The sequence below is a fragment of the Homo sapiens genome, chromosome 5, assembly GCF_000001405.40.
Source record: "Homo sapiens chromosome 5, GRCh38.p14 Primary Assembly".
Lineage (NCBI taxonomy): Eukaryota > Metazoa > Chordata > Mammalia > Primates > Hominidae > Homo > Homo sapiens.
The window spans coordinates 41,175,244-41,203,084 of record NC_000005.10 but is presented as its reverse complement, the minus strand read 5'-3'; the positions used below and the strand labels follow the sequence as shown (position 1 = coordinate 41,203,084).

The 27,841-nt window shown below is 35.5% G+C and overlaps 1 protein-coding gene across 13 annotated transcripts in view; it reads left to right on the top strand.

Moving 5' to 3' along the window:
• Positions 1–27,841, top strand: part of C6 (complement C6) — a 119,354-nt gene that overhangs the window by 58,385 nt on the left and 33,128 nt on the right. For 12 of the 13 annotated variants that reach the window (NM_001115131.4, XM_011514119.4, XM_006714496.5 and 9 more), the window contains 6 exons: positions 1,371–1,527; positions 3,173–3,317; positions 7,152–7,293; positions 16,877–17,015; positions 21,526–21,726; positions 26,370–26,610. In NM_001115131.4, coding sequence (NP_001108603.2) covers positions 1,371–1,527; positions 3,173–3,317; positions 7,152–7,293; positions 16,877–17,015; positions 21,526–21,726; positions 26,370–26,610 — 1,025 coding nt within the window. The remainder of the gene's footprint in view (positions 1–1,370; positions 1,528–3,172; positions 3,318–7,151; positions 7,294–16,876; positions 17,016–21,525; positions 21,727–26,369; positions 26,611–27,841) is intronic. The other variant, XM_047417689.1, reaches the window with a different exon arrangement.

The window sequence follows — 27,841 nt, the reverse complement described above, 5'->3', positions numbered from 1 at the left end:
GGTGTGAGCTTTGTGGCTTTTCTTTGTGTCCTGGAAGGACTCAAGGATGAAGTCAGCAACATCAGGAGTGCAACACTAAGCAATGGGAACATATATATATCAAAGTAAGAACTTACAAATTTGGATGAAATTTGAAGTCTCTCTCTTATGAGGTTGAAAGGAAGTCTACTTTTGTTCTTTCTACAAGAACGAGGGGTTTCAAAGAAATTTAATTAAGAATCTGTGCAACACTTTCAGTTGAATATTTAACTTGCTTAGAATCACTACCCAAGCTTTTTTCAATCAGCATACAACTTTGCTTGCCTATAGTTAGTGAGTTAATTATAGAGAATTTTCTACTCATTAAATCGAGTCTAACAGGACCTCAATTGAGCAGAACTGCTAGCTATTAGCTTGATTGTTGGCATATACAAAATGGCAACAAAACTGTTCTTTCTTGATAACATTTAATAATTCAGTCTTTTCACCAATTCAGACTTCTTGTCCCCCACAGTTTCTTTAACTCTGTTAAATGTTTCTGTACCATGGAAATGCTCACATGTTAGGGGAGAAAAGCATATATTTAATGTGTTTTAACCATTAGAGAATTTTTTAGGATCCTTATTTTAGAAAACTATGTTTACATATGTAGTGTGAATCTCATTAAAATTACCAATTTACTTCCCCAATAAACCATCTACTATATATGTGAAAACAGATTTGTTTACAATATTCCTCTATTCAAGAGTCCTTCAGTAGCTCCCTGCTGCCTAAAAAGAACAGCAAATATTCCTGGCCAGTCACACAAGCTCCTCCCTGGAGAGCTACCTGGACATGCTCTCATCTGCCTCAAATCTTTGCACATGTCGCTTCCTCCAAATTCCCTTCCCTCTGTTACCTGGAGAATTCACGTGAATTATTCAGGATGTTTCTCTCATGCCACTTTCTCTTTGAATCTTTAGCCTCACAGCCCCCTATGTTGTCCTCCTCCAAGCAGTTTGCAGGATCTTTCTCTCCTTTCATCTTTCCTTGCCTTCCAGTCCATTAGAGGAGCTCCAGCATGGCTGGCTTCATGGTGTAACATGTGCAGCCACACAGGCCCCACACTTAGAAGGGCTTCATGCTTGGCTTAATGATCTGCCTTTGCTGTCTTGAAGTTCTTAGTTTTGAGCAAGAGGTTTCCCATTTTCATTTTATGCTGAGCCTCACAAAGTATGTCCTGAGTTCTATTAAGTGGTGAGAACTGCATATATGCCAACCTGCCTAATTTTTCCATGAAAATTTTCTTTCTTTTCTATTTATTGTAGTTAATGCTCAATGATACTTTGATTATGGAGCAGGATATATGGTGAATACACTCATTCTAAGCAACTTCTTCTTCATGGTTACAGACAAATAGTAGTAGATAAGTACTACCAGGAAAACTTTTGTGAACAGATTTGCAGCAAGCAGGAGACTAGAGAATGTAACTGGCAAAGATGCCCCATCAACTGCCTCCTGGGAGATTTTGGACCATGGTCAGACTGTGACCCTTGTATTGAAAAACAGGTAGGCAACCATGGGCATTTCCAGGAAATATGAATCACAATAGAGGGCTCTGATTCCCTGACAGGCTTAACAGCATAGTAATGCTGAATTACTTCAATTTCTGAAAATCAACTGTCTCAGCTTCCATTGAGGGAAAATTCCATTTAGCACTTTTGTGGGGGGAAGAGGGGGTTTATTTTATGTATTTTACTGTCTTAAGAACACAAAAAGGAAATTTTGCTCCCAGTATTGATATTGTACTTACCCAGTTCTGAATTCCACTGCCTGTGCCTTCTGAGAATTCTGAAAGCAAAAGTGTATACAGATTGAGTAATCCTTATCCAAAATGTTGGTATCAGAAGTGTTTTGGATTTTGGATGTTTTGTGGATTCTGAAATATTTGCATATACATAACGTAGTAGCTTGGGGATGGGACACAGTCTAAACATGAAATTCATTTATGTTTCAGATATACCTTATACATATAGCCTGAAGATAATTTATACAATATTTTAAATAATTTTGTTCATGAGACAAATTTATGATAAGTATTTACATATACAATACTCCACTGTGGCATCATGTTGGTACTCAAAAATTTTTAGATATTGGAGCATTTTGGATTTTAGGTTTTCAAACTAGGTATGCTCAACTCGTACTAAAAAAAAAAAAAAAAAAAAAAAAAAACAACAACAACAACAACAACAAAAACAGGGTTTCAGTCCAAGATTTTAAACCAGACAGAAATGAGGGAAATGAATCAAAACTTTCACTCCTTGCCCTTCCTCTACATTCCCTCTCCTCACAGCAGTCCCTCAATTTGTTTATTGTTCCCCATTGAAATATTTACCCACCACAAACTCATTCCTGTAAGGGCATCGGCCAATGTGAACCACAGTTAGGGCCGTGTTGAGCATTTACACAGCAGGGAAGAAAAAGAAACTCATTTGTGGAACAGCTACTTTCTGAGGGGAACTGTTCTAGGTCCCTTTCATGTGTCATCTTATTCAAACTTCACATCATATTGTGTTTCTCTACCCATTTTACAGATGAGAAAGTTATTGCTCATTTGGGGTTAAGTAATTTGCCCAAGAATACACCCATTAATTAATAAATTGAATTTTCTGACTTCAAAGTCAGTACTTTTTAGTCCTATCATATTTCTATTCTCCCTTGACTCACCATTTTACTACTCGCCATTTAAAATCTTTTTAAAGTGTAGACTACATTCGCATTGGTTTTCACAGGGACTCTCTTATGCAAAAGAACCTCAAAATTATTTCACATTTATCCCTTCACACTATCTTTAAGATACAGAAAGGCTACTGTTATGGCCTGGAGGAATTTACTGTACTCAAGAGACTCTCAGCAAACATTTATATATTTTATTTTGAAAACGTATAAACCATATGGTTTCAGAGTTATAAGAAGCCTTAGAAACCTTTTTAACCCACTTCCTCATTTTACTGGTTGGGAAACAGAGATCCACAGAGGTGATTATTTCCCTAAGGGAGCATAATAATGGAATTGGAAGAATCATTAGTAAAAATATAAGAAATATTACCATAGGAAAAATCACTGTTGTGATTGAGGAGCCCAGTTTTCTTAGGTACATTTTGACCTTGACCCTGCCTCAGAGTTATATCTTTCTCTTCTTTCCTTTCAGTCTAAAGTTAGATCTGTCTTGCGTCCCAGTCAGTTTGGGGGACAGCCATGCACTGCGCCTCTGGTAGCCTTTCAACCATGCATTCCATCTAAGCTCTGCAAAATTGAAGAGGCTGACTGCAAGAATAAATTTCGCTGTGACAGTGGTAATGTATTTTTGTGAAATGTTCAGTCCCCACTAAAAATAGCTTGACTAAATCAAAGTTACTCCAATTGACTAACAGTAGAATCCATCACAGAGAAATCCCACCACATTTTAAGCAGAGTGGAATGGGAATGTTATGCTGCCAATTCCCAAGATATTCCACTGTAAAATTATGGCTTTTCAGTTATACCATTTTGACCACTTACCTGATCTGCACAAATCTATAATCAGGATAATTTTAAAAGAAATGACATATTTTAAAAGATTTTTAATATAATTTATTATGACAAGAATATTAAGATATCATGTTGGAAGATGACTAGAGATGATGTAGAAAACTTTCTTGACTGGCTCTAAAATTAATTCCAAAAGAGTAAGTCAAAAGCACATACACAAATGAGCATGGCTATATTTCAATAAAATTTTCTTTACAAAAACAGTTGGCCATAGTTCAGGTCAGTTTTAGCCTACAGGCCATAGTTCATTGACCTCCTATCTAAACAGTCAACTTAAAGTTACAATAAAATTAAATTTCAGATGAATGAAATCTCTATCATTTCTGTGTACTCTGAGATATCCTGAAAAGTAAAGTATTTATAACTAGATAGCAAATTTCCAATTCCACAGAAAATTGACCCAAGACCTTGGAACCCAAGTTTTCCCCTCTTACTCCCTGCATCCTGCCCTCAGCTTTGCCAGCTTTTTCTGAATGTCAGACAGGAATGCTGGGGTCAGGGTTTTCCCCTATCCACCTCCACCCCAAACCTGGAATTTGAGAGCAGGATGTGGGTAGGGAGATATATTTTGTGTCTATATGAATAAGGTCATGTCACAAATTGACAAAAAAGGGAATCAGAGCAAAATCCGAATGAGAATGGCTGAGGGTAATACAGACCTGATCATTATATCCAGAGTATCAAAATCAAGCTCTAGAACTGAAGTATAACTATTTGAAGCTTGAAAGATGGTTTTTACTACATATAAGCAAAAAAGACTCTTATTCAGTAGATGATAAATCTATGAAAAATTACAAAGGATCTGCATTCAGGCCAAAAATACTTAAAGTTTGAGAAGCCTTGAGATGCATCCATTGGTCACCAATTTATAATGAACAATTTTAGAAAGGTTAGCAGTGTAAGCACAGCTGATCGCCAGTTCATCAACAGTTATGTCCATAACCACTGATTTTCAAATAACTGTATTATGAAGATGTGTCTGTAATGGTTGTTAAGCGGCTGCTACTCCGTACTCCCTGAGTAACCCATGCCCTGCTTCCCAGAGCCCAAAATCCCTAGATCTTTTCATGATCCAGGAACTGATTGGTAAATCCTTGTCACAGATATAGTTGGCATCCATTCGGACTGGGTGATGTCATAGCCTTTTGGTTGTTAAATATTCCATTGAAGATGGTATACTGTTTTGCTCTCCTAAAAGCATCTACTAATGCCACTGTCAATGGGAGTAAGAGGTTTATGAATGATTGTTTTTCTGACTCAAGATGATACTTGGCTCTCAATTAACAAAGAACTATCTCTCCTGAAAAGATTGACCATCTTGCCTTTCCTCCATTATGACTGATGTTCAGAGTCTCCCAAGAGTCCCCAAGACTAAATGGATTATTTTGATGTATACGTGGATTTTTAAGAGTTACCCATTATGTTAATTCCCATGCAATATACCAACTCTTCTTTCAGAGTCCTAATTTTAAGCATAAAAGACTAGAGAATTTGCAGCTGGTTTTAAAAAATAATACTATTGCAGTGACACAAATCGCTTCCAATGGATAGGAAAAACGTGCAATTTCTAAATGATTGCATGGTTCCAAGTGTAAATGTATACATGCATGTGCTGGCTAAGCATGCTGACTTCTGCAAATCCTGCAATATTCAAACTGTCCTTTAATTTCTCATTCCTTCTTTGGTATAGAATATATTTATGGCTTACAATATCTCTCCCCTTATGCTTTCTATTCCATAGAGTTTTTATGACCTGGAACCATTCTCACCCATGTCACATCAGGCCTATTCCTAAACATCCCTCAAGAGGTATCCTCTTCCCTTCATCCCTACCCTTGCTAATGGACTCTCTAAGATATCCCTATAAGTACTAAATGGATAGAATTTCTTGTATTCTCACAAATCTGGTACTCTGCTCACAAAGCTAAGCTAATGAGAACTATACTCTACATGTGTATCCCTCCTTCTGTCTAACAAAGTGAGATTTTAGTGTAACCATATCAAAAATAAACCTTTGCTTAAATTTGTAAGTGCTAGGTTCAAAACTTTTTAAAAAATGTAATATGTATAGATTCATATTTTAATAAATAGCCTCTCTATTTCAAACTAAAATGCCCATTCTGTTCTGTCCTGAAAACAACACAAAACAAAAAAACTAGAAATGCACTGTTTAAAAATAGAGCATCTTTCAGGTTAAGTCATGGGATGAACAGACATTCAATTCAATCTGCATTTCCAGTCCTGTGTGATTATAGTGCTCGTAGCTATAATTCTTTATAATAATAGTCCTGACATAATGCAAGATGGAAAATGTAATTATTTTAATTACACTCTACCTTCTAAGTGAAGATTATTAACCAAAAAAGTTGAAACCAAGTACTTTCTTGGGAACCCACTATTAATTAAAAAAATTAATTCAACAGAATGCCCAATTTTCCCAAGAATTTTAGTCAAAACAGTCATGCATAATTGTAGTGAGATGCTAATCACATCTTAAAATAATCAACCAGATAATCTCAAGTAAAACCTTTAATCATTGTCAGTTGGACCTGTACATACTGGTACAGATGCCAACATCATTGACTACAGGCAAGAAGGTAAAAGGCAGGAGAGGAGATATCTGTCATTGCACATAAGTATTTCAATTTCTATAATATATAGTTATATACTGATTCCAAGGATCCTTATGAAATTCAGTAAGTCAGAAATGGAAGGTAATTATTTGGGTACATGGAATTTGTACCATTTTCTAAATTTGCTCACTCTACTTGCTACTGTAGTATCTAGACACTTAACTTGTCCAAAAAATAGATATAGCAAATTATATGCAGGAAAACAATTATATACAGTAATTATATATAGTAAAATAGATAGTAGATATATTTAATATATTTAATAAAATCTGTACTAATTATATATAGTAAAATATGCAATTCTAAGTGTGCAATTTTGCTTTCACAAATTATGCAATCATGTAAACAATCCTATGTCAAGATATAGAAAATACAGATTTCTATATCGAGATATAGAAAATTCCCATAAACCCAAAAAGCTCCCTCCTTCTCCTTTCTAGTTAATTCCCCCTCCTTCTCCCTGGACATCATATAAAGGAATCACATGACATGACTCATGTGTCTGGCTTTTTTCACCCAACATAAAATTTGAGAGATCCAACCATGTTATTGTGTGTGACTGTGCATCTGTGTGTGTGTCTATAAAGTTACAGGTTTTTAAATAAAAACAGTGACCTTGAGTCTCCCATCCTAGATCAAAACAAAATTCTGAACCTCTTGTTAATTTTCTCCTACTGAACATGATCTCTATAGCGGCTCACTGTAATGGGAATTATATTCTAGGATTATTTCTCTTTTTAAAGACAATCAGCAACTAAATAATTCTGTGGTGACCCTTATAATCTTACAAGTGGAAATTTATCAGTTTATCGCTCCATTTTTATGTGCTCCCTAAAACTCTATCAAAAACAGTGAAGACTTGCCTTCAACTTTACCTTGAAATTTAAAGCATTTGAGTTTCAAATTAATAAATACTTTCTAAAATGATAATTTGTTGCATTGATTTTGTTTGCTTTTCTTGACTAGGCCGCTGCATTGCCAGAAAGTTAGAATGCAATGGAGAAAATGACTGTGGAGACAATTCAGATGAAAGGGACTGTGGGAGGACAAAGGCAGTATGCACACGGAAGTATAATCCCATCCCTAGTGTACAGTTGATGGGCAATGGGTATGTAACATCTTTTTATCATCTTGGGGAGAACAGGTATCAGAACAAATGAGTCAGAGGGAGCAATGAGATACATCATTGTCCATCTTCCTCATTAACTTCTTACTACTCCTACCAGCCCTATCTCTGATACTTAGCTACCATGTTCAGGAGGTATGTGGCCATGATCCTCACTCCTGAGAAGTAAAAGTTAGCATTTCCAAATATAGTTTGTGCCAGGCAATGCTATGGGCCCTTCATAAACATGGCTTGTTTTATTTCTCATACATCTCTCAGAAAGTTTTGGAATGGATTAGAGCAGACTGGTCTAAGCCCATCAAGCTGGGAGGTGCCAGGGTGGGGTCCTGGAGGTAGGCCTTGAATGGGTGAGTAACCACTCAGAAATGTCAGGAGCAAATGGAGAAAGAGGGTGTGATAAAAGTATGCCTATGGGTGGGTTGAAAGCCAAAACACTAGAGAAACAAAACCAGTCTTCCAGCATGAAAAGCAAACCCAGAGTCAAATAATGAGCGATAAAGCCAAAAGGAAAGAAGTTAAGCAAATATAGAAAAAAAGAGAGGGCTAAGCAACAAGGGTGTGAAAACGTAAGAGAGTAAGAGGTGAAGTGAATATAGCTAGGTATTCTCTCCCATAGGCTGTGTGACGTGTGGGTAGGTCAGCAGAGCCTAATGGCAGAAGCCAGACCTATATTACCATCCAGTCTCAGCTTACAAACTGAGAAACGAGTCCCAGAAAGCTTACATAACCTGACCAAGTCTACCAACTAGCAAATGGTGGAACCAGGATTCAAATCCAGACTTCAAAACCCAGGCTTTTTCCATGATTTCATGCTGATTCAGGACTACATCTACCTTACAAATGAGACACCCTGGAAGAAACCTCAGGAGATCACATAGCTCTTTCTTCTAGTGTTCCTACTACAGGAATACCCAATCATGAGCACACTGGGGGTTTTACCAGGGGTTCTAAATTCATTAGACTGAACCTGTGTTTTAGATGATGTTAGGAAATATAAGAGAAGGCTATGAAAACAGAAAAACTGAGCCTTAATTTGAAACATAAGAAAAAATCAGTAAAGATAATCTCCTATACTCTCCCCTTTACATAATAAAGAAACCCCTCTTAAATTTTTGGCCAGAAGGCAGATAGTTTGCTATCAATTTCTATTGCTTCATATTGGACTTTAGAAAATTAGAATCTTCACTTAATGCTGCCAGAGTTGCATAATATGAAAACTCGAGGCACCAAAGACAAACAGCCACAATTGCAAATACAACCTTATTTGATTTAGAATAAAACCCAGAAAATATTGAACCAAACCCGAGGACACCAGTAAAATGGAAAAACCATTAGTCTGAAAGTAAGAGGAGCTGAGTTCTAAATAACTCAGCTGGTTCTAATGTAGAACTAGAACCAGTTCTACATTATCTCACTACACCACAGCCGAGTTATTTAACAACTCTGGGCCTCGGTTTCCTCATCTATATGTTGGATGACTATAAACTGATGTGATGTTCTGTCCTAAGAATTTCTAATTAGTGCTGATTTCGATGAAAGTGCTTCAACAACATATTCTTATCCATGTGCAGAAATGGTTTCCTTCTCTTGGTTTGCCTACAAGAAAACGTCAGCCAAAAACTCCCACTGATAATCACATTTTCTAATGTTCTGATTGATGAAGGGTGACATTACAAAATCACCTTTTGTTCAGTTGATCTAGACTCTAGAGTTACAGATGGGGAGGACCACATGCTATGTGTACTTTGGCTGAAGGACGACGTGGCCCTCTGCCAACCAGAGCTGTTGTCCCAGTGATTCTGAGAAATGAGCAAAGCCTGCCGGCTCGGGACAACCAGTCCTCTCCTTGCCTCCCCAGAGACTGAGAGTTTTGAGAATTGCTTACTGTAATCTTGTTCTAATCTGCTGGCCTTAGAATCTCTGCCTCTCCAATCCTGCTATCCAACATATTTCTAACCACAAAAAAAAAAAAAAAAAATAGCTTCCTGAGTGGCTGACCTTCTTAACTGATATTTCTCCAAGAAAAATTTTAACAAGAGATATAAAAATTTCTACATTGCCAACATCAGTCACTAGGTTCTAAATATGAAGCAAGAATCAGGCAATAATAGCATGCTATTTGTTTTTACCCAGGCTTAGTGTGTGTATAGATACACACACAGTTGAAAGGACACATTCATCTATGTGGCAAAATAGTGAGATCTGTGAGTAGGGATCACACACATATATATGTGAAAATACATGCATACACACAAATATATATTTTTGATTTATATATTTCTAGTTATATTCAAAAAGTTACAAAGTATGACACATAAATCAGATTAGATCAAAGCACTTTAGAAACAATGCTGTATGTGAAACACTAAATTATTTTAAGTCAGTATCAACATCTGAGAGGAGGAAGGAAAGAATAAGACTGAAAATTTCTTCATAGCTGGCTTAACTCCTAAAAGATTTCTCAGGCATGGTCTGCTGGAAATACCTCCATAAAATCCTATCTTCAGGTTCTCCACAAATAGCTGTCACCTTCATAGATTCCTCATGACCTGAGAGCCATTTTTCTCAAGCCCTTTTTTGCTTGTGACAAACATAAGTACATAGTGTAAAGCAGTATAAGGTCAATGGTTTTTTAGTCCTCGCTGTTATGCTTTCAGCTATTTGAATATAATATGCATCTTAGACAACCCACAGAATTCACTCATTTTAAAAAACAGCCTTATTGAGATGTAATTTGCATGCCATACAATTCATCCATTGAAAGTGTCTAATTCAACCATCTTCAGCGTATTCAAAGACTTATATAACCATCACCATGATATAATTTTAGAATGTTTTCAACATACCCAAAGTAAAACCTTTGTACATATTAGATATCAAGCTTCATTTCTTTCCCCCTTCTACCTGACTCCTAACCCTAGGAAACCACTAATTCACTTTCTGTTCATGTAAATTTGTGTATTCTAGACATTTCATAAAAATGAAATTCTACAATATGCAGCCTGTGTCTGCCTTTTTGCACTTAGCATAATGTTTTTAAGATTCATCCCAATACTCACAATTGGTACTACAGAAATACAAATGATCATTAAAGACTATTATAAACAGCAATATGCCAACAAATTTGAAAATCTAAAAGAAATGGATAAATTCCTGGATACAAAAAAAAACTTACCAAGATTGAATCAAGAAGAAATAGAAAACAGACCAATTGTGAGTAATGAGATTAAATCAATAACAAAAAGTCTCCCAAAAAAGAAAAGCCCAGGACTGGATGGCTTCACTGCTGAATTCTACCAAACTTTGTAAGAACTAATACCAATTATTATCAAGCTATCCCAAAAAATCGAAAGGGAACTTTTCCAAACTCATTCTACAAGACTAGTATAACACTGATACCAAAACCAGATAAAGATGCAACAACAACAACAACAAATCTACTACAGGTCAATATCCCTGATGCAAAAATCCTCAGCAAAATACTAGCAAACAGAACCCCAGAGTACATCCCAGATATCTACTATAATTAAGTAGTATTTAATCCAGAGATGCAAGGATGGTTCAAAATATGCAAATCAATAATGTCATCACATCAACAGAGAGAACAAAACATATGATCACCTCAATAGTTGTGGAAAAAGTATTTGATAAAATTCAACATCCTTTCATGATAAAAACTCTCAAAAATTAGAAATAGAAGAAACTTAACACAATAAAGGCTGTATATGGCAAACCCACAGCTAGCATCATACTGGGTAGAGAAAAGTTGAAAACTTTTCCTCCAAGGACTGGAATAAGACAAGGATACCTGCTCTTACCACTGTTATTCAGCATAGTCCTGTAAGTCCTTGCTGGAGCAATTAGGCAAGGAAAAGAAATAAATGGATCCAAACTGGAAAGGAGTAAGTCAAATTGTCACTGTTTGTAGATGACATTATCTTTTATAGCGAGAACACTAAAGACTCCACCAAAAAAAAAAAGGCCCTAGAAATGATAAATGAATTCAGTAAAGTTGCAGGATACACAATCAATATACAAAAATCTGTAGCATTTCTATATATTATCACGAGCTAGAGGGAAAAGAAATCAAGAGAGCTAACTATAAGAGCTACAAAAAAATACCTAGGAATAAATTTAACCAAGGAGATGAAAGATCTCTGCAAGGAAAACTATAAAACACTGATGAAAGAACTTGAAGAGGACACAAAAGAAATGGGAAGGCATCCTGTTTTTATGGATTGGAATATTACTATTGTTAAAGTGACTCAACTGCCCGAAGCAATCTACAAATTCAAGGTAATCCCTATTAAAACACGAATGACTTGCTTTACAGCAATAGAAACAAAGCTCTAAAATTCATATGGAACCACAAAAAACCTTAATAGCCAAAGCAATCTTGAGCAAAAAGAACAGGCCTGGAGTGCTGGCTCATGCCTGTGCCAGCACTTTGGGAGGCCGAGGCGGGTGGATCATGAGTTCAGGAGTTCAAGACAAGTCTGGCCAACATAGTGAAACCCCATCTCTACTAAAAATACAAAAATTAGCCAGGCGTGGTGGTGGGCATCTGTAGTCCCAGCTACTTGGGAGGCTGAGGCAAGAGAATCGCTTGAACCCGGGAGGTGGAGGTTGCAGTGAGCAGAGGTCGTGCCACTGCACTCCAGCCTGGGCAACACACAGAGACTCTGCAAAAAAAAAAAAAAAAAAAAGCCAAAGGCATCACACTACTACATTTCAAAATATACATGTTACATGTGTTACATGTTACAAAGCTATGGTAACCCAAGCAGCACACTATTGGCATAAAAATAGATGCATAGACCAATGGAACCGAATACAGAACCCAGAAATAAAACCATGTATTTACAACCAACTGATTTTTGACAAAGGTGCCAAGATCATGCACTGGGGAAACAAGAGTCTCTTTAATTAATGGTGCTGGAAAAACTGGATATCCATATGCAGAAGAATGAAACTGGACCCCCACCACTCATGCTATACAAAAATCAACTCCAAATAGCTTAAAGACTTACATGTAAAATTCCAGAACTATTAAACTATTAGAGAAAAATGTAGGGGAAAACCCTTAGAACATTGATGTGAGAAAACATTTTATGAAAAAGACTTCAAAAGCAGAAGCAACAAAAGCAAATGGGATTATATCAAACTAAAAAGCTTTTTGTACAGTGCAGAAAACAGTAACAGAGTGAAAAGACAACATAAACATACACAGTGGAAAAAAGTATGTGCCAGCTATTCATCTGACAGGGAGTTAATATCCAGGATATATAAGGAACTCAACTCACCTCAAAAATAAATAAATAATCCAATTTAACGGATTAAGTTCACCAGTGAACTTAATAAGACATTTACCAAAAGGAGCCCAACAAATATATTTTAAAATGTTCAACATCACTAATCATCGGGAAAATGAAAATCAAACTACAATGAGGTATCATCTCACTACAGTTGAAATGACTATTATCAAAAAGACAAAAAAATAGCAAATGCTGGAAAGGATGTGGAGAAAAGGAAGCTCATACACTGTTGGTGAGAATGTAAACTAATGTAGCTCTTATGGAGACCAGTATGGAGATTCCTCAAAAAAACTACAAACAGCACTGCCATATGATCCAGCAATCCCACTACTGAGCATACATCCAAAGCAAAGGAAATCGGTATACTGAACAGATATCTGCATCCCTAAGTTTATTTGCAGCACTGTTCACAATAACCAACATATGGAATCAGTCTAAGTGTCCATCAACAGATGAATGGATAAAGAAAACATGTTACATATACAAAATGGAGTACTATTCAGCCATAAAATAGAATGAAACCTTGTCACTGGAGAAACATGGATGATCCTGGAGGATATTAAGTGAAATAAGCCAGAAACAAAAACATAAATACTACATGTTCTCACTCACATGCAGAAGCTTAAAAAGTTGATCTCATACAAGTAGATTAGAATAAGGGTTACAAGAGACTGGAAAGAGTAGGGGAAGGGGAGGATAGGAAGAGATTGGTTAAAGGTTACAAAATTACAGCTAGATAAGAGGAATAAGTTCTAGTGTTCTATAGCATTGCAGGTGACTATAGTTAACAATAATTTAGTACATATTTTCAAATACCGAGAAGAGAAAATTTTGAATATTCCCAACATGTTTGAGGTGATGAATATGCTAATTACCCTGATTTTATTACTATACATTGTATGTATCTAAACATCACTACGTACCCCATAAATATGTACAATTATGTGACAATTTTTAAAAATGTAATATTAAAAATCACCCATATAAAGCATATGTTAATACTTCATTCCATTGTATGAGAGAATAACAACCCATTGTATCATTCTATCACATTGTGTTGATTCATTCATCAGCTAATGAACATTTGGTTTGTTCCTACTTTGACTAGTATGAGTAATGCTGCTATGAACATTCATGTACAAGTTTTTGCATTGATATATATTTTCAATTCTCTTTCATATATACTTAGGAATGGAATTGCAGGGTCTTATGGTAATTATACATTTAATTTTTGAAGAACTCCCAACTATTTTCCAAAACAGCTGCACCATTTTTCATTTCCCCCAGTTACATATGATTGAAAATCAACTTCTCCACACCTTCATCAAAACTGTTTCTGTTCATCTTTTGGTTAAAGCTATTCTAATGGCTATGAACTGGTATCTCATCGCAGGTTTGATTTGTATTTCCTAATGACTAATAACTTTGAGCATTTTTTCACATGCTTATTAGTCATTTTCATATTTTTTCAAAGAACTATATATTTAGATACTCAAATTATTTGCTCATGGTTTAATTGAGTAATTTGGTTTTTTTATTTAGTTCCAAGCATTTTTTGTATATTCTGGGTGTAAGTTCCTCATTAGATATGTGACTTGGAAATATTTTCTCCCATTATATGAGTTGTATTTTCACTTTTTTGTTGGTGTCCTTTAAAGCACTAAAGTTTTTAATTCTGGTGGAGTTCAATATATTTATTTCTTCTTTTGTTGAATGTGCTTTTAATGTCATATCTAAGAAGGCTTTGTCTTACTGGAGTTCACAAATATTTAGTCCTATATTGTCTTCTAAAAGTTCTATAGTTTCAGCTCTTAAATTTAGGTTCTATTATCTATTTTGATTAATTTTTTTGCATTATGTGAGAAAGGGGCCCAATTTCATTCATTTGCAATATAACCATTAGGTCATTACAGCACCATTCATTTAGGACTATTTTCCCCATTGAACTGTCTTGGCACCCTTGTTGAAAATCAATTGACCATAGATGTATGGGTTTATTTCTAGATGCATTTCTGTTCCATTGATCTATATGTCTGTCTATCCTCATGCCAGTACTACTACACTGTCTTGATGACCCTAATTTTGAAGTAAATTGTGTATCAGGAAGGTAATTCCTTGAACTTTGTCCTTCTTTCTCACGATTCTCTTGGCTGTTCTGGGTCTTTTGAATTTTAGAATTGTCTTGTGAATTTTTACCAAAAAAAGGCAGCTGAGATTTTGATAATGATTGTCTTGAATCTATAAATCAATTTGGGAAGTACTGCTATCTCAACAACACAAATTCTGCCAATCCACTAATATGGAATGTCTTTCTATTCATTGAGATTTCACTTAATATCTTTCAACATTGTTTATACTTTTCAGTATATGAGTCTTAGACTTCTTTTGTTAAATAAATACCTGAGGATTTTATTCTTTGAGAGGCTATTATAAATGGAATTGTTTCTGTAATTTTATTTTTGGATTGTTCATTGCTATTTGTAGGGAAATACATTTGATTTTTGTTTGTTGATTTTGTTTCTGCAAGCAATTACTTTTGAACTTAGTATGCAACCTTTTAATAAAATTAAAATATACTTTCCCTGGTGGAAAAAATGGGAGAGATAGTATGTATTGTTTCCTTTCATAGGGCAGGCCAGGCCTGTGCTAGTCACTATTAATTTCCACAACTACTATAAAAAAGCAATTAGCTCCATTTTCAAGTGAAGAAACCATTTCAGAAACTTAAAAGCTGTGTGTGTGTGTGTGTGTGTGTGTGTATGTGTGTGTCTGTGTACTTTTACATTAACACAATTTTATTGGTAGAGAATTTACAAGTATTTATATTAGCCTTACTTTCTTTTCAGTATTCTAACATCACTTTACAACTTTCAAACTATCCTTGCTCCTCTTTGATAGAAAAATATTGTGCCCCTTGGTTAGAAGCGCCTGAGTAATTGGTCGAATTTTCTGCTTTAAATCCAAATGTCTAATAGATCGCAAAAGCCTCCCATAGTGAACTGCTTCTTGATTCCCTCACAAATGAATGAGTCTATTTGTCTTTTTTTCAGATCTTTGTGATAGTTACAAAACTTAATATTTCAGCTCTGGTAAAGGTGGTGCCTTTCAGGTACATTTTGTCTTGTGAGTTAATGCCATAGAAGTACAAGGGAAACAGACATGTAAGTGGTCAATGACATTCTTGAGGATGTTTAGAGTTCCCTTGAGCCCCCACAACTATCAGAAGGGATGGGTGTACTGAAGGGTCATGAGAAGGGAAGGGCATTGGTGCTATTCCTTCTGCTACATGGAATTTTCCAGTGATATTCTGTAGAACTACACTACATGTTCTATGAAAGACAAGGTTATTTGGTCAAATGTACTTGGAGACTGACAATTTATATTTTTAAGGCTGTGACATGACCTGTAGAAAACGATTTTTATAATCTATGTAATACAGCATTACCAAACTGTTTGACAAAAAAACTACTTTTTTCACAGAATACATATTAATATCTCTTAGAATTTGGAAAAGCATTAGCATCTTGGAGAAGTTTTTTTATCTATAACAAAATAACCTCTTAAATAGTTGATTTATGCTAAGCTAATTAATCTCTATGTGCCTCAATGTCCTCATTTGTAAAACAGGTATAATAATTATATCTACATCATATGGTTGTAATAAATATAAGTTATTATTAGTAAAGTACTTAACCAAGTTAATATTTGTAAAGCACTTACTATTGCTTGGCTTATAGTAAATAGTATATAAGCATTTGTTAAATAAAATATATTTTAAATATTATAGTCAGTTATTAGTAAAACTATAATATTATTACAATTCCATTAAAATATTGCTGTTACTATTTTATTATGAGCTCTCTATTAGAATTCCACTCAGAAAGAAGTAGACCTGGGATAGCATTTATTATATAATAACTTATTTCATAATCTGCTTCCAAACTTTGCACTGGCTTTGTAAGTCATAAAAAATTATAAATCCAGATTTTGTTGTATGTTGAAAGCCAAGAACAATTAAGTAAGTGGAATAGGAGAACCTAATAGAGCCAGAGAAGCTGAGTTTGGGCTTTCCAGCTTCCTTGCATGCCTCACCATGGACTAGGAAAAAAAAGCGGAGGTGTGGGGGATTCCTTCAAGTCATTTGTCTTGAGGCAAAAAGGTTTAGAAGAGGAATTCCTTTCATATAACTAAGGTAAATTTTAAAGATTGTTCTACATCTGTTGAATTCCTGAAAATTACTTTGTTTCTAGGTTTCATTTTCTGGCAGGAGAGCCCAGAGGAGAAGTCCTTGATAACTCTTTCACTGGAGGAATATGTAAAACTGTCAAAAGCAGTAGGACAAGTAATCCATACCGTGTTCCGGCCAATCTGGAAAATGTCGGCTTTGAGGTATGACAGCCTAGCATGGTGGCAACTCCAACACCGTCAGTGATTATAAGCTAAATTTCTCATGCAAAATTAGTGATGAATGAAGGGACAGAATAAAAAGGTGGTGAACCATTTTAATCACGTGTTATGTGTTTGTATTTTATCCATGCACACACAATGAGGCCAGTGTTATCAATTTACAGATGAAAAAACTAAGGTAACTAATTTTCCAGAAGTCAAACAGCTAGCAAGAAGTGAATTCAAGATTCAGGGCCAGGTTTTCCTGATTCGAGTCCATGCTTTCTCCATTGAATATTCAGCTCTAAAATAGCTCCACACAGATAAACAGTTTGATTTCTTCAGAATTTTCTCCTAACCTAGGTAGTGCTCTTAGATAACCACAAAAAATAGACTTTTTTTTTAAAGTGCCAGGCTCATAAGAAAAATCATGATGAGTCAGTCTAATGAGATAGTTCTGCTTACTTTTCTTCCTATTTTATTAGTTGGTTTGGTTTATTTGTTTCTTTTAGTAAATTATAATGAGCAGCATACTACCTACTCTCAGAATCTAACTCATGCTTTACACGTAAGTGCTCCATACTCGTTGCACTAAAGTGAGTAATCTGCTTCTTTTAAATTGTGATAAGAACAGAAAATACACGTTTTAATGGTGACGTTCATGCATAGAAATTTGACAAGCTAGAGAGAATTTCAGAGTTGTAATTATTTCTGAGAACCACTTTATGGGTAATATGAGTTCAGCAAAAACTCATTTAATCCTTCCTTTAAAAAGACCTTTATATACATATAAATACAGGCATTTTCCAATTCAATTCACTCAATTTAAAACCATCTAATATATACTGATAGGTGGGGAATGTCTTTGGGAACTAACCGTCAAATTTGAATACCTCTGGGAAGACTGATAATACTGCTCTTAAGATATATTGTATTTGAACAGGCTTTGTAGACAGAGCTAAAACCTAAACATTTATATGTAATATTGTTCTGATGGAAGTTGCTTTCCAGTTCCAAAACAACCAATCCACAAGTTTACTTTCAAAATATGGTCATTTCACAAAAGGATATTGCCTGTATTTTCAGCAAACATCTATTTCATGTAGTTTTACAAGTAACAAAATAAAGGAAGTATATGAGGCTGGAGCAAATTGAGGCTTAGATAACACTTCATACTCATATGATACCTTAGAGTCTTCAAAGTACTTTCATATATTGCTTTACTTGATTCCCATAACAACCTCCCCAGAAAGGTAGAAAATTGTTTACATCCACATTACTAACAGAAAATTTAGGCTTAGCCGGGTGTGGTGGCTCACATCTGTAATCCCAGCACTTTGAGAGGCCAAGGGGGTGCAGATCACTTGGGTGTCAGGAGTTCAAGACCAGTCTGGGCAACATGATGAAACCCTGTCTCTACTAAAAATACAAAACTTAGCTGGGCGTAGTGGTGCACACCTGTAGTTCCAGCTACTCAGGAGTCTGAGGCATGAGAATTGCTTGAACCCAGGAGGTAGAGGCTGCAGTGAGCCGAGATCACGCCACTGCACTCCAGCCTGGGCGACAGAGTGAGACTCTCTCAAAAAAAAAGAAAAGAAAAGAAAAGAAAATTTAGGCTTATTGGAGTTAAACAACTCTCTCAGAGTTATACAGCAAATAAATGGCACAGAAAAATAAGGATTCCTGGCTTCTGGCTCTTATAGTCGGAGGCGGCCTATGTTAGATGAGACATTTGTAGTATATCAAGAAAGACATTAAAACTCCACACAGTGGGTTAAAAGTCTGAGCACCTTCATAAACTATCAGTTAAAATGTATCCCCCTTGAAGTTAGACAATGATGTGCTGGACCCAGCTCTTTGAGTTCACAAGAGTCAACTGTTAACTTTTCAGGAATTTTGGAATCCAATTGTGAAACATAGATTTTTTTTTTTCTTTTTCAACTTTCATTTTAGATTCAGGGAATACATATGCGAGTTTGTCACCTGGCTTTATTGTGTGATGCTGAGGTTGGGGGTACAAATGATCCCTTTACCCAGGTACTGAGCAGAGTACCCAACAGTTTTTCGACTCTTGCCCCTCCCTCCCTTCCCCCCCTAGTAGACCCCAGTGTCTGTTGTTGCCATCTTTATGTCCATGAGTGCCCGATGTTTAGCTCTCACTTATAAGTGAAAACATGTAGTATTTGTTTTTCTGTTCCTGTGTTAATTTGCTTAGGATAATGGTCTCCAGCTGTATCCATGTTGCTGCAAAGGACATGATTTCATTCTTTTTATGGCTGCTAGTATTCCATGGCACATATGTACCACATTATCTTTATCCAATCCACTGCTGATTGGCACCTAGGTTAATTCTATGCCTTTGCTATTGTGAATAGTACTGCGATAAACATGCAAGTGCATGTGTCTTTTTGGTAGAACAATTTGTTTTCTTTTGGATATGTACCCAGGAATGAGATTGCTGGGTCAAATGGTGGTTCTGTTTTAAGTTCTTTGAGAAATATCCAAACTGCTTTCCACAGTGGCTGAACTAATTTACATTCTCACCAACAGTGTATTAGCATTCCTTTTCTCCACAGCCTTGCCAACATCTGTTGTTTTTTTGACTTTTTAATACTAGTCATCCTGACTTGTGTGAGATGGCATCTCACTGTGGCTTTGATTTGCATTTCTCTGATGATTATTGATGATGAGCATTTTTTCATATATTTGTTGGTCAAAACACAGCCATTATTAAATATCAAATATATTATCTCACAGGTAAACACATTAAAAACAAAGGTTATAATTGCTCAAAATTGATCACTTTTCAATTATTTGGCTACATTTTACCATTATCCATGCTATTGGGGTTATTTACATCTATTGGATCTGTATTATGAAAATACTTTGTAATTTGCCACTGTGCATCTCTTCCCAATATGAATTCAGGGCATCACATAGGTAGCTTGAAATCAGCCATGGTAGGAATATATGCACAATGGAAAAGAAAAATGCTATAGCAAATCAGGGCTTTCTTCCCCTTCCCAGAGAGCTAGTTGTTAAACATTTACTAACAGATCACTGGGTTAACCCACAAAGCTTGATAACACAAGCCTGGATAACAAGTTACATGAGGAAATACAGCCTGAAAATTCTTTTACAGCAGATTAAACTCATTTCCTTATCAATGTAGCTCTAAGACTTGTCCAACCTTATGAAGCTACCTGAGCTAATCTTTAACTCTGCCATAGTGGTATGGCTGAAGTCATAGTGATATGGCTGAAGAAGGTCATAGTGGTATTTCTTCAAACAAAAATTTGGGAATGACTAGAGTCAAGGTCACAAGCTATTGGTTTTCTTTTAACTGATCTCTGTATAACTTCATTCTTTAGGCATGCTTTTAGCAGGCAGCTATGCAAACCTAAGCTATACCTTATTGAAAACAATAGAGGAGGAGAAATTCAGCAGGCATCTCACTTCCCTTCTTTTGTAGTATTGTAGCTTATGAAGATAGATGAAATAATTGGCTGGCTGGTATACAAAGATTAAAGAGACTCATGAAAGGAAGAGAAGGCAACTGGGCAGGGAGTTAGAAGACCTTAGAATAACTACAGGACAGATGATGGAATACAGACACCAGACTCAGCATTTTAATCAAGACAAGTTAGGTTACACTGCAATATCAATACTAAGATGTCAGTGTCTTAAAACAGTGCCACTCATACTGTACGTTCTACTGATAATAGTCACTTAGAAAGCAAGGGACTTAAGGGATCCTGCTTTGACACATCCTGACTGGTGTGATGATGAATTGCAAAAAAAAAAAAAGGGGCGGGGGGAAGTGACATATTGCCCATCAACTCTTAAAGTGACAGATACCATTTATATTTACATTTTATTGGCCAAAAAGAGTAGGGAAATGCATGCTTTTTATGTGCCCAGAAAGAGACTAGAGTAGTTGTAAACAGCGTAATGACTAACACAAAGGTCAATCAAGAGTTGATCAGCACTGGGAGCTTTGGTAGCAGGCAATGGGAACCCAACCTCAGAAACTGTGATCCCGAAGTCAGACTCGTCTCTTGAAAAAGTATAAAACAAGGTGGGACTTGGTTATAAAGAACAAGCCCAGTTGTCAGAACTGAAAAGTATCTTAGTTAGACTGCACACTGCATCAAAATCACAGACATGCTAAAAATAACCTTCATTGTTTATCACCCTGTTAAGTCTCAGCTTAGGTGGCATTTCCTTGAGGGAGGGTTTCCTGATATTGCCTCTCAGGGTCTTATATTTCCTGTGGGATTCCACTGGTCACACAGTACTTACCTCATTAAGTGTTGGTGATTATCTTTCTCTCTAACTAAACTATTAACCCCTCAGTGCAGGAAATAACACTATTCTTTGTTCTCTAGCAAAATGTGTCCTCAATAAATACTGGCTGAGTGCATAAATAAATAAATCATCATTTCATTAGATATCCACAAGTCGCTCCAGTATTTCCTAAATTATATTTTATTTTACATGGATTTTTCTCCAGGTACAAACTGCAGAAGATGACTTGAAAACAGATTTCTACAAGGATTTAACTTCTCTTGGACACAATGAAAATCAACAAGGCTCATTCTCAAGTCAGGGGGGGAGCTCTTTCAGTGTACCAATTTTTTATTCCTCAAAGAGAAGTGAAAATATCAACCATAATTCTGCCTTCAAACAAGCCATTCAAGCCTCTCACAAAAAGGTATCAAAAATGGTTTCCAACCTTTTATTCTTTCTTGAAAATTAACAGTAATTCCAGTAATCATGCAATAAGAAGGGGAGAGTTTTGATATTGTACCAGTATGACTTCTAATACAGATTTAAGTAATTTTTCCATTTTTTGTTATATCTCACTTCAAAAGTTATAGAAATATTATGTATATTAATGGTTCCATTTTGCATGCATTTGACTGTTATTGTTATGTTTTTTATCTTCACTTTTTTTTCATATTGTTGTAGGTGTGCTTCTTATAAACTCCATACAACAGAACTTTGACCTTTCATGTAATATGACAATCTGTATTTTATATTTTTGTTATATGTTATATACATATTTGTATAGATGTATATATTTGTACACATATACAAATACATATATAAAATATAACAAAATGTGTATTTTGCTACATTTATGTAAACACACGCACATTTACCTATCTCCATTTTTTTCCTCTTATATTCCTTTTCTTGAGATCCCTGTTCTCATTCAGTTGCCTTTTTTTTTTTTTAATTCCTCATATAGGACACATGCAAGGTATATTCTCTAAATCTTTTGTATCTAACATTGCCTGCCTTTTCCCTGAGCAATAAATATAAAGAATATCCTGACTGTATCATAATCTTCTTCTCTTGATAGTAGATGTTATTCAATTGTCTTCTAATTTCCATTGCTGTATAAGAACAATCATATTCAGAGCAAATTTTTTCATTTTCTTTTCCCTGCTTGAAAAGTTACAATTCTTTTTTGCACTTGGAACTTAGGGTATGTCTAAGTATTGGACTTTTCCTGTTAATCTTGCCAGGGACTTAGAGAACCCTTTTAATATACAAAGCTACAGCTTCATGTGTTCCTTTTTCTCCTATTATTTTCATTTTAAATCTCTTAGATATGTCTCACAGTGTTTAAATGATTTAGAAGACACATTTCTATCTGAAATTTTTAGACATTTACAAAGATATTTTAAAATACTGTCTATTGCTCACTACAACCACCACTCTAAGTAGCATTTGCTCTTTCCCAAGAGATGAATGAGGAGAATGAGCCCTGAATCATGGAACTAGAGAGGGAGGAAATAGAGGTACCAATGTCAGAGTTAATGAGATCAGCAACTGGAGGCCACCATATTACGGTTGCTCCTACTTTTATCGTATTGCTCTTCTACTTTTATTTAGTCAACCATTTATGCACTTATACAAATATAAGACCTAAAGCACTGTGTGGATAGTTTTCCCAAGTATTTCATTTATCCTCAAAACAATTCTAAGAGATTATCAGAGTCAATATTTAAACATCATTTTGCAGATGAATAGATTGAAATTCATATACGCATTTTTAATTCAACGAACATTTATCAAATACCTACCATGAGTCAGGCACTAACTAAAGTCCAAGAAGCTAAGTGACTTCCAGTGATCTTACAGTAAATAAATGCTAGAGTTGGGAACTGAAATCTGTTTGTCTTATTTTTGCTTACTTTTCTTATTCATTGTATTACACTTCAAGATATTTGACTCTTTATTCATTCATTTATTTATTCATAATTTTAGCAAAATACAGAAAGAACACAGTTCTGGTGACACAGACATGTAAAAATGACAATGAAATAGATTCATTTTATGTATAAATTATATATAACTATATATAATTTATATATATAATATAACATATATTTTATATATATATAACTTAGTTTAGAATGGGCTGTGGGTCCTATAGAGCCCTCCAAACTTAACAAATTATCTTTGTAAGACAAGATAGTATCAGAATTTCTTGTAAGTAAAAATACACATCTCTAGCACTTTCCCTTAATCTACTAATTCAGAATACCTGGGATTGGGCATGGGAATATGGCCTTTTTTATTTTTAGCTCCCTAGCTCAGTATAATATAGCATGCAGGATTGGAAATAACTGCTTATAAACATAGTCAATGATGAAGGGAGATAGATAGACATGTTTGTATGAGACATAGGTACAGTCCTATGTCTTGCTTCACGTATGTGATTTATATGTATTTCAAACATGCTAGAGAACGTTTGTAAAACCCTTATATGTAGATAAACAGCTATTGTTTGATCTCCTAATAGTCTGTCCCAAAGTTAAAAAATTTAGAGCTATTCACAATATCAGGTTGGAACATATTAAACTACTGTTATTCAACCATTTTTGATTTACAAAATTGTTAGCCTCACCAGGGACGGTGGCTCATGCCTGTAATCCTAGCACTTTGGAAGGCCAAGGTGGGCAGATTGCCTGAGCTCAGGAGTTCAAGACCAGCCTGGGAAACACAGTGAAACTTCATCTCTACTAAAATACAAAAAATTAGCCGGGCGTGGCAGTGTGCGCCTGTGATCCCAGCTACTCAGGAGGCTGAGACAGGAGAATCACTTGAACCCGGGAGGCGGAGGTTGCAGTGAGCGGAGATCGCACCACTGTACTCCAGCCTGGGTGACAGAGCAACAACAACAACAAAAAATTGTTAGCTTCATATAGTTCAATCCAACATCATTACTGTCATCTTTGATTAGTTCTGAACAGAATTAAGGAATTTCAGTCTAAGGAAATGAGGCTGGGCGCGGTGGCTCATGCCTATAATCCCAGAACTTTGGAGGACTGAGGTAGGCAGATCACCTGAGGTCAGGAGTTTGAGGCCAGCCTGACCAACATGGTGAAACCCTGTATCTACTAAAAATACAAAAATTTGCCAGACGTGGTGGCGGGGGCTTGTGGTCCCAGCTACTCGGGAGGCTGAGGCAGGAGAATCACTTGAACCCAGGAGGCAAAGGTTGCAATGAGCCAAGATGGCACCACTGCACTCCAGCCTGGGTGACAGAGCTAGCTCTGTCTCCATCTCACAAAAAAAAAAAAAAAAAAAAGAAAAAGAAAAAGAAAAAAGAAAATACTACTGAAGCCTCTCTTAGTCTTCAAGTAGAGAAAACAAGATACCACAAAATTGAAAATCAATCCAAGTCTTTCAGTAGAGCATAAAGCTTTAGTTGTTTCGTCATTCACAGATCAAACTAGACATTTGTTGGACAAACAGTCTGTTTCCAAGCAAAATACCAGATAACTCAGTCAGGTTCAGTATTTTCTTGATATACTTTACAAAATGGAAACCACAATAATATTATTAAAATAAAGCAGGACCTCACACATTGTTGAAATAGATTATATGTGGTTTAATAACCTATAGTAATGTATTTTTTTAATCTAAAATAGCCAGTTTCAGGTATCATGAACCAGCAAGTAGAACACCATGGAGGTTATTGTGCTAAGTTGAGCTACCAAAGTTTAACTTGTATTTTCCACGACTGAGACCTTAAAGAAACCTGGAAATATTGAACCTTCCAGAAAGGGCAGTTCAGATACTCAGGGAGTGAGTGTGCTTCTTATTAAAAGCACAAGGGCTCTCCAACTTTTGAAAACTATGGTTCTCTGACAAAATTCAAGTATTAAACTTAAAAATAGAATTAATGAGCACTTACTAAAATGGAAGTTCCACAAAGGCACGAACTTTGTCTGCCTTCTTCACTTCTGTATCTACAGCATCTCAGATAGGTAGGCAATGAATGTATAGAAGGCCAGAAGGTAGAATAAAGGAAGAGAGGGACAGGGAAAAGGAAAGACAGAAGGGAGATTAATGCTGATTCTTTTTCAATCCTTGGGATTATTTTTTTTCTTTTGTGTCAGCAGTCATCTTTTGCCATACTTATAGCAAAGAGGAATACGGTTAATAATTAACAGTTATAATACAGTTATTTTGCTAAAACATGGTCCTTACTCTGTTACTATTACTACAATTTGTTAAAATTGAGAGATCAGATAAAGTATATAAATTTTTTTTAAAACAATGTACATAAATACACTTATAAACCTCAGTGGCTATGTAGAAAGATAATCTGAGGAAATGAGATTTTAAGCATAATATTGACCAGCTAATTCTCAATTAACCTGACATAAAAAGAAATGATAAATAAATAAGTTTGTAAACAAAAAAACTCATATATTTCTGCATATGGGTGGAGGAGAGAGAATATAAATAATTTTACTTAATTTCACCCACTAAGTAATTTAGAATCAGCATTTTGGAGTTGAAAGGAGATGTGAAGTGTTACCAGGTGCAAGCCCTCATCTTATCATTTGACAACTGAAGTCTAGAGAATCGAAACGCTTTTTCCAGAATGACAAAGCTGTAACTTGAATCTCACTTGCATAACCTCCATCTCAGTTGCATAACTTCCAGTTCAAAATGCACACAATTCTTTTTCAATTATTCACATTAGCAAATATTCTAAATAAAAACTCAGTAGAAATGCAGCCATGATTGGCAATCAGGAGAGAAAGATGACTTTTTTGATCACTGATTTCTTCTTTCTTAGAGAACACGTGCCCCCATTACACAGTTTACATTATTGAGATAATCTTACCTGTTTTGCACATTGGACATTGGTATTGGAAAGCAAAATGAAAATTATAATTTTGTACGTGAGAACATGCAATAGAGAGTGAGAATTATTGTAATTCTGTGGTGGGAATGAAACTAATGATAAATCAATGACATTTAAATGCTAGGTACTTCAAACTTTCATTACCTTTAATCATCTTTTTACTTCTTTCTTCCATTTAGGATTCTAGTTTTATTAGGATCCATAAAGTGATGAAAGTCTTAAACTTCACAACGAAAGCTAAAGATCTGCACCTTTCTGATGTCTTTTTGAAAGCACTTAACCATCTGCCTCTAGAATACAACTCTGCTTTGTACAGCCGAATATTCGATGACTTTGGGACTCATTACTTCACCTCTGGCTCCCTGGGAGGCGTGTATGACCTTCTCTATCAGTTTAGCAGTGAGGAACTAAAGAACTCAGGTAACTTTCTTCAGTCCTCACTCTTTTTAACTGGTATGATAGCATGCAATACATTTTTCTCTTACTCTATCATTTTAATTATTCTGCTTTGACTTTATTTAGATCCTGCTTTATTTCCAAAATGATATGAAGAATGATAAAAAATACACATTCAAATAAATAAAACAAAAATAGAAAACTAAGACCAAAAAATAAAGAAAAATAAGTATGCTTAACCACTGTGATTTTAGGCATCATATTTGTCTCTAAATTTCCTAACATCTGGGAACATCATAAGCTTACACAGTAGTGGTTACCCAAAGAGGAAGATGCATGCCAATATCTCAAGGGAAACCAACTTTGTACTGGCACTAAATTCTAAAAGATAATTTATGAATAACATTTTTATAGGATATAATTTCATAAAGCAATACCTTATAACGAATTAAATAGCAATTTTTTCCTGTAATAATTTTAACTACAAGCCAAGATGAAACATATGATGAAAGAAAAGTTAAAAACTTGACAAGCGACTAAGCTAGAGTGGGCCAGATGAGCACTTACTGGTGATGAAACCTGAAACTAAATGCAAAAGATTTGCGTTATTGTAGGCTTTCCACACTGCCTGCATGCTTTATGTTTCCTTTCAGTTATCCTTTCCACTGGAGTAACTCTTGCATGTGAATTTGATGTCTTCTGCTACTGCAAATAGTATCAACACTAATGCTGAGCAGAAGTAATTAGGGGAAATCTCTGCTCTTGACTTGGTTTTGTCTCACCCTCAGAAGAAATTATTCTGGTCACTTCTGCTATAGCCCAGAAAATAATTTCCCACTTGATGAGTATAATCCTCATGCATTCAGAGCAGAGCCCCTAAATGCTTAGGGATCAGGTCAGTTGAGAACTGGGTGAATCTTTAATCAACTATTAGTTAAAGCCCCATCACCAAAATGAAGAGTGATGAGCTATACTTTCCTACGGAAACCTTCTCACATTCCATCTCTTTCTCTGTAGAGGTAGAGACTGACAGTTACATATAATGAAGGAAAGAAAAGGAGTTTGGGATGTGATAGGAAATTCCAAATAAATACCCATGCATATCCATATATACATGCATGCACACAGTACATACATACACACACATACACTGTATGCATGTATTGACAGTGTGTCCATATATGCATATATATGTGTGTATATATATTCAGTAAGATGTATTCTGGATGTGAGGATGATCTAGCTGTGACATCTG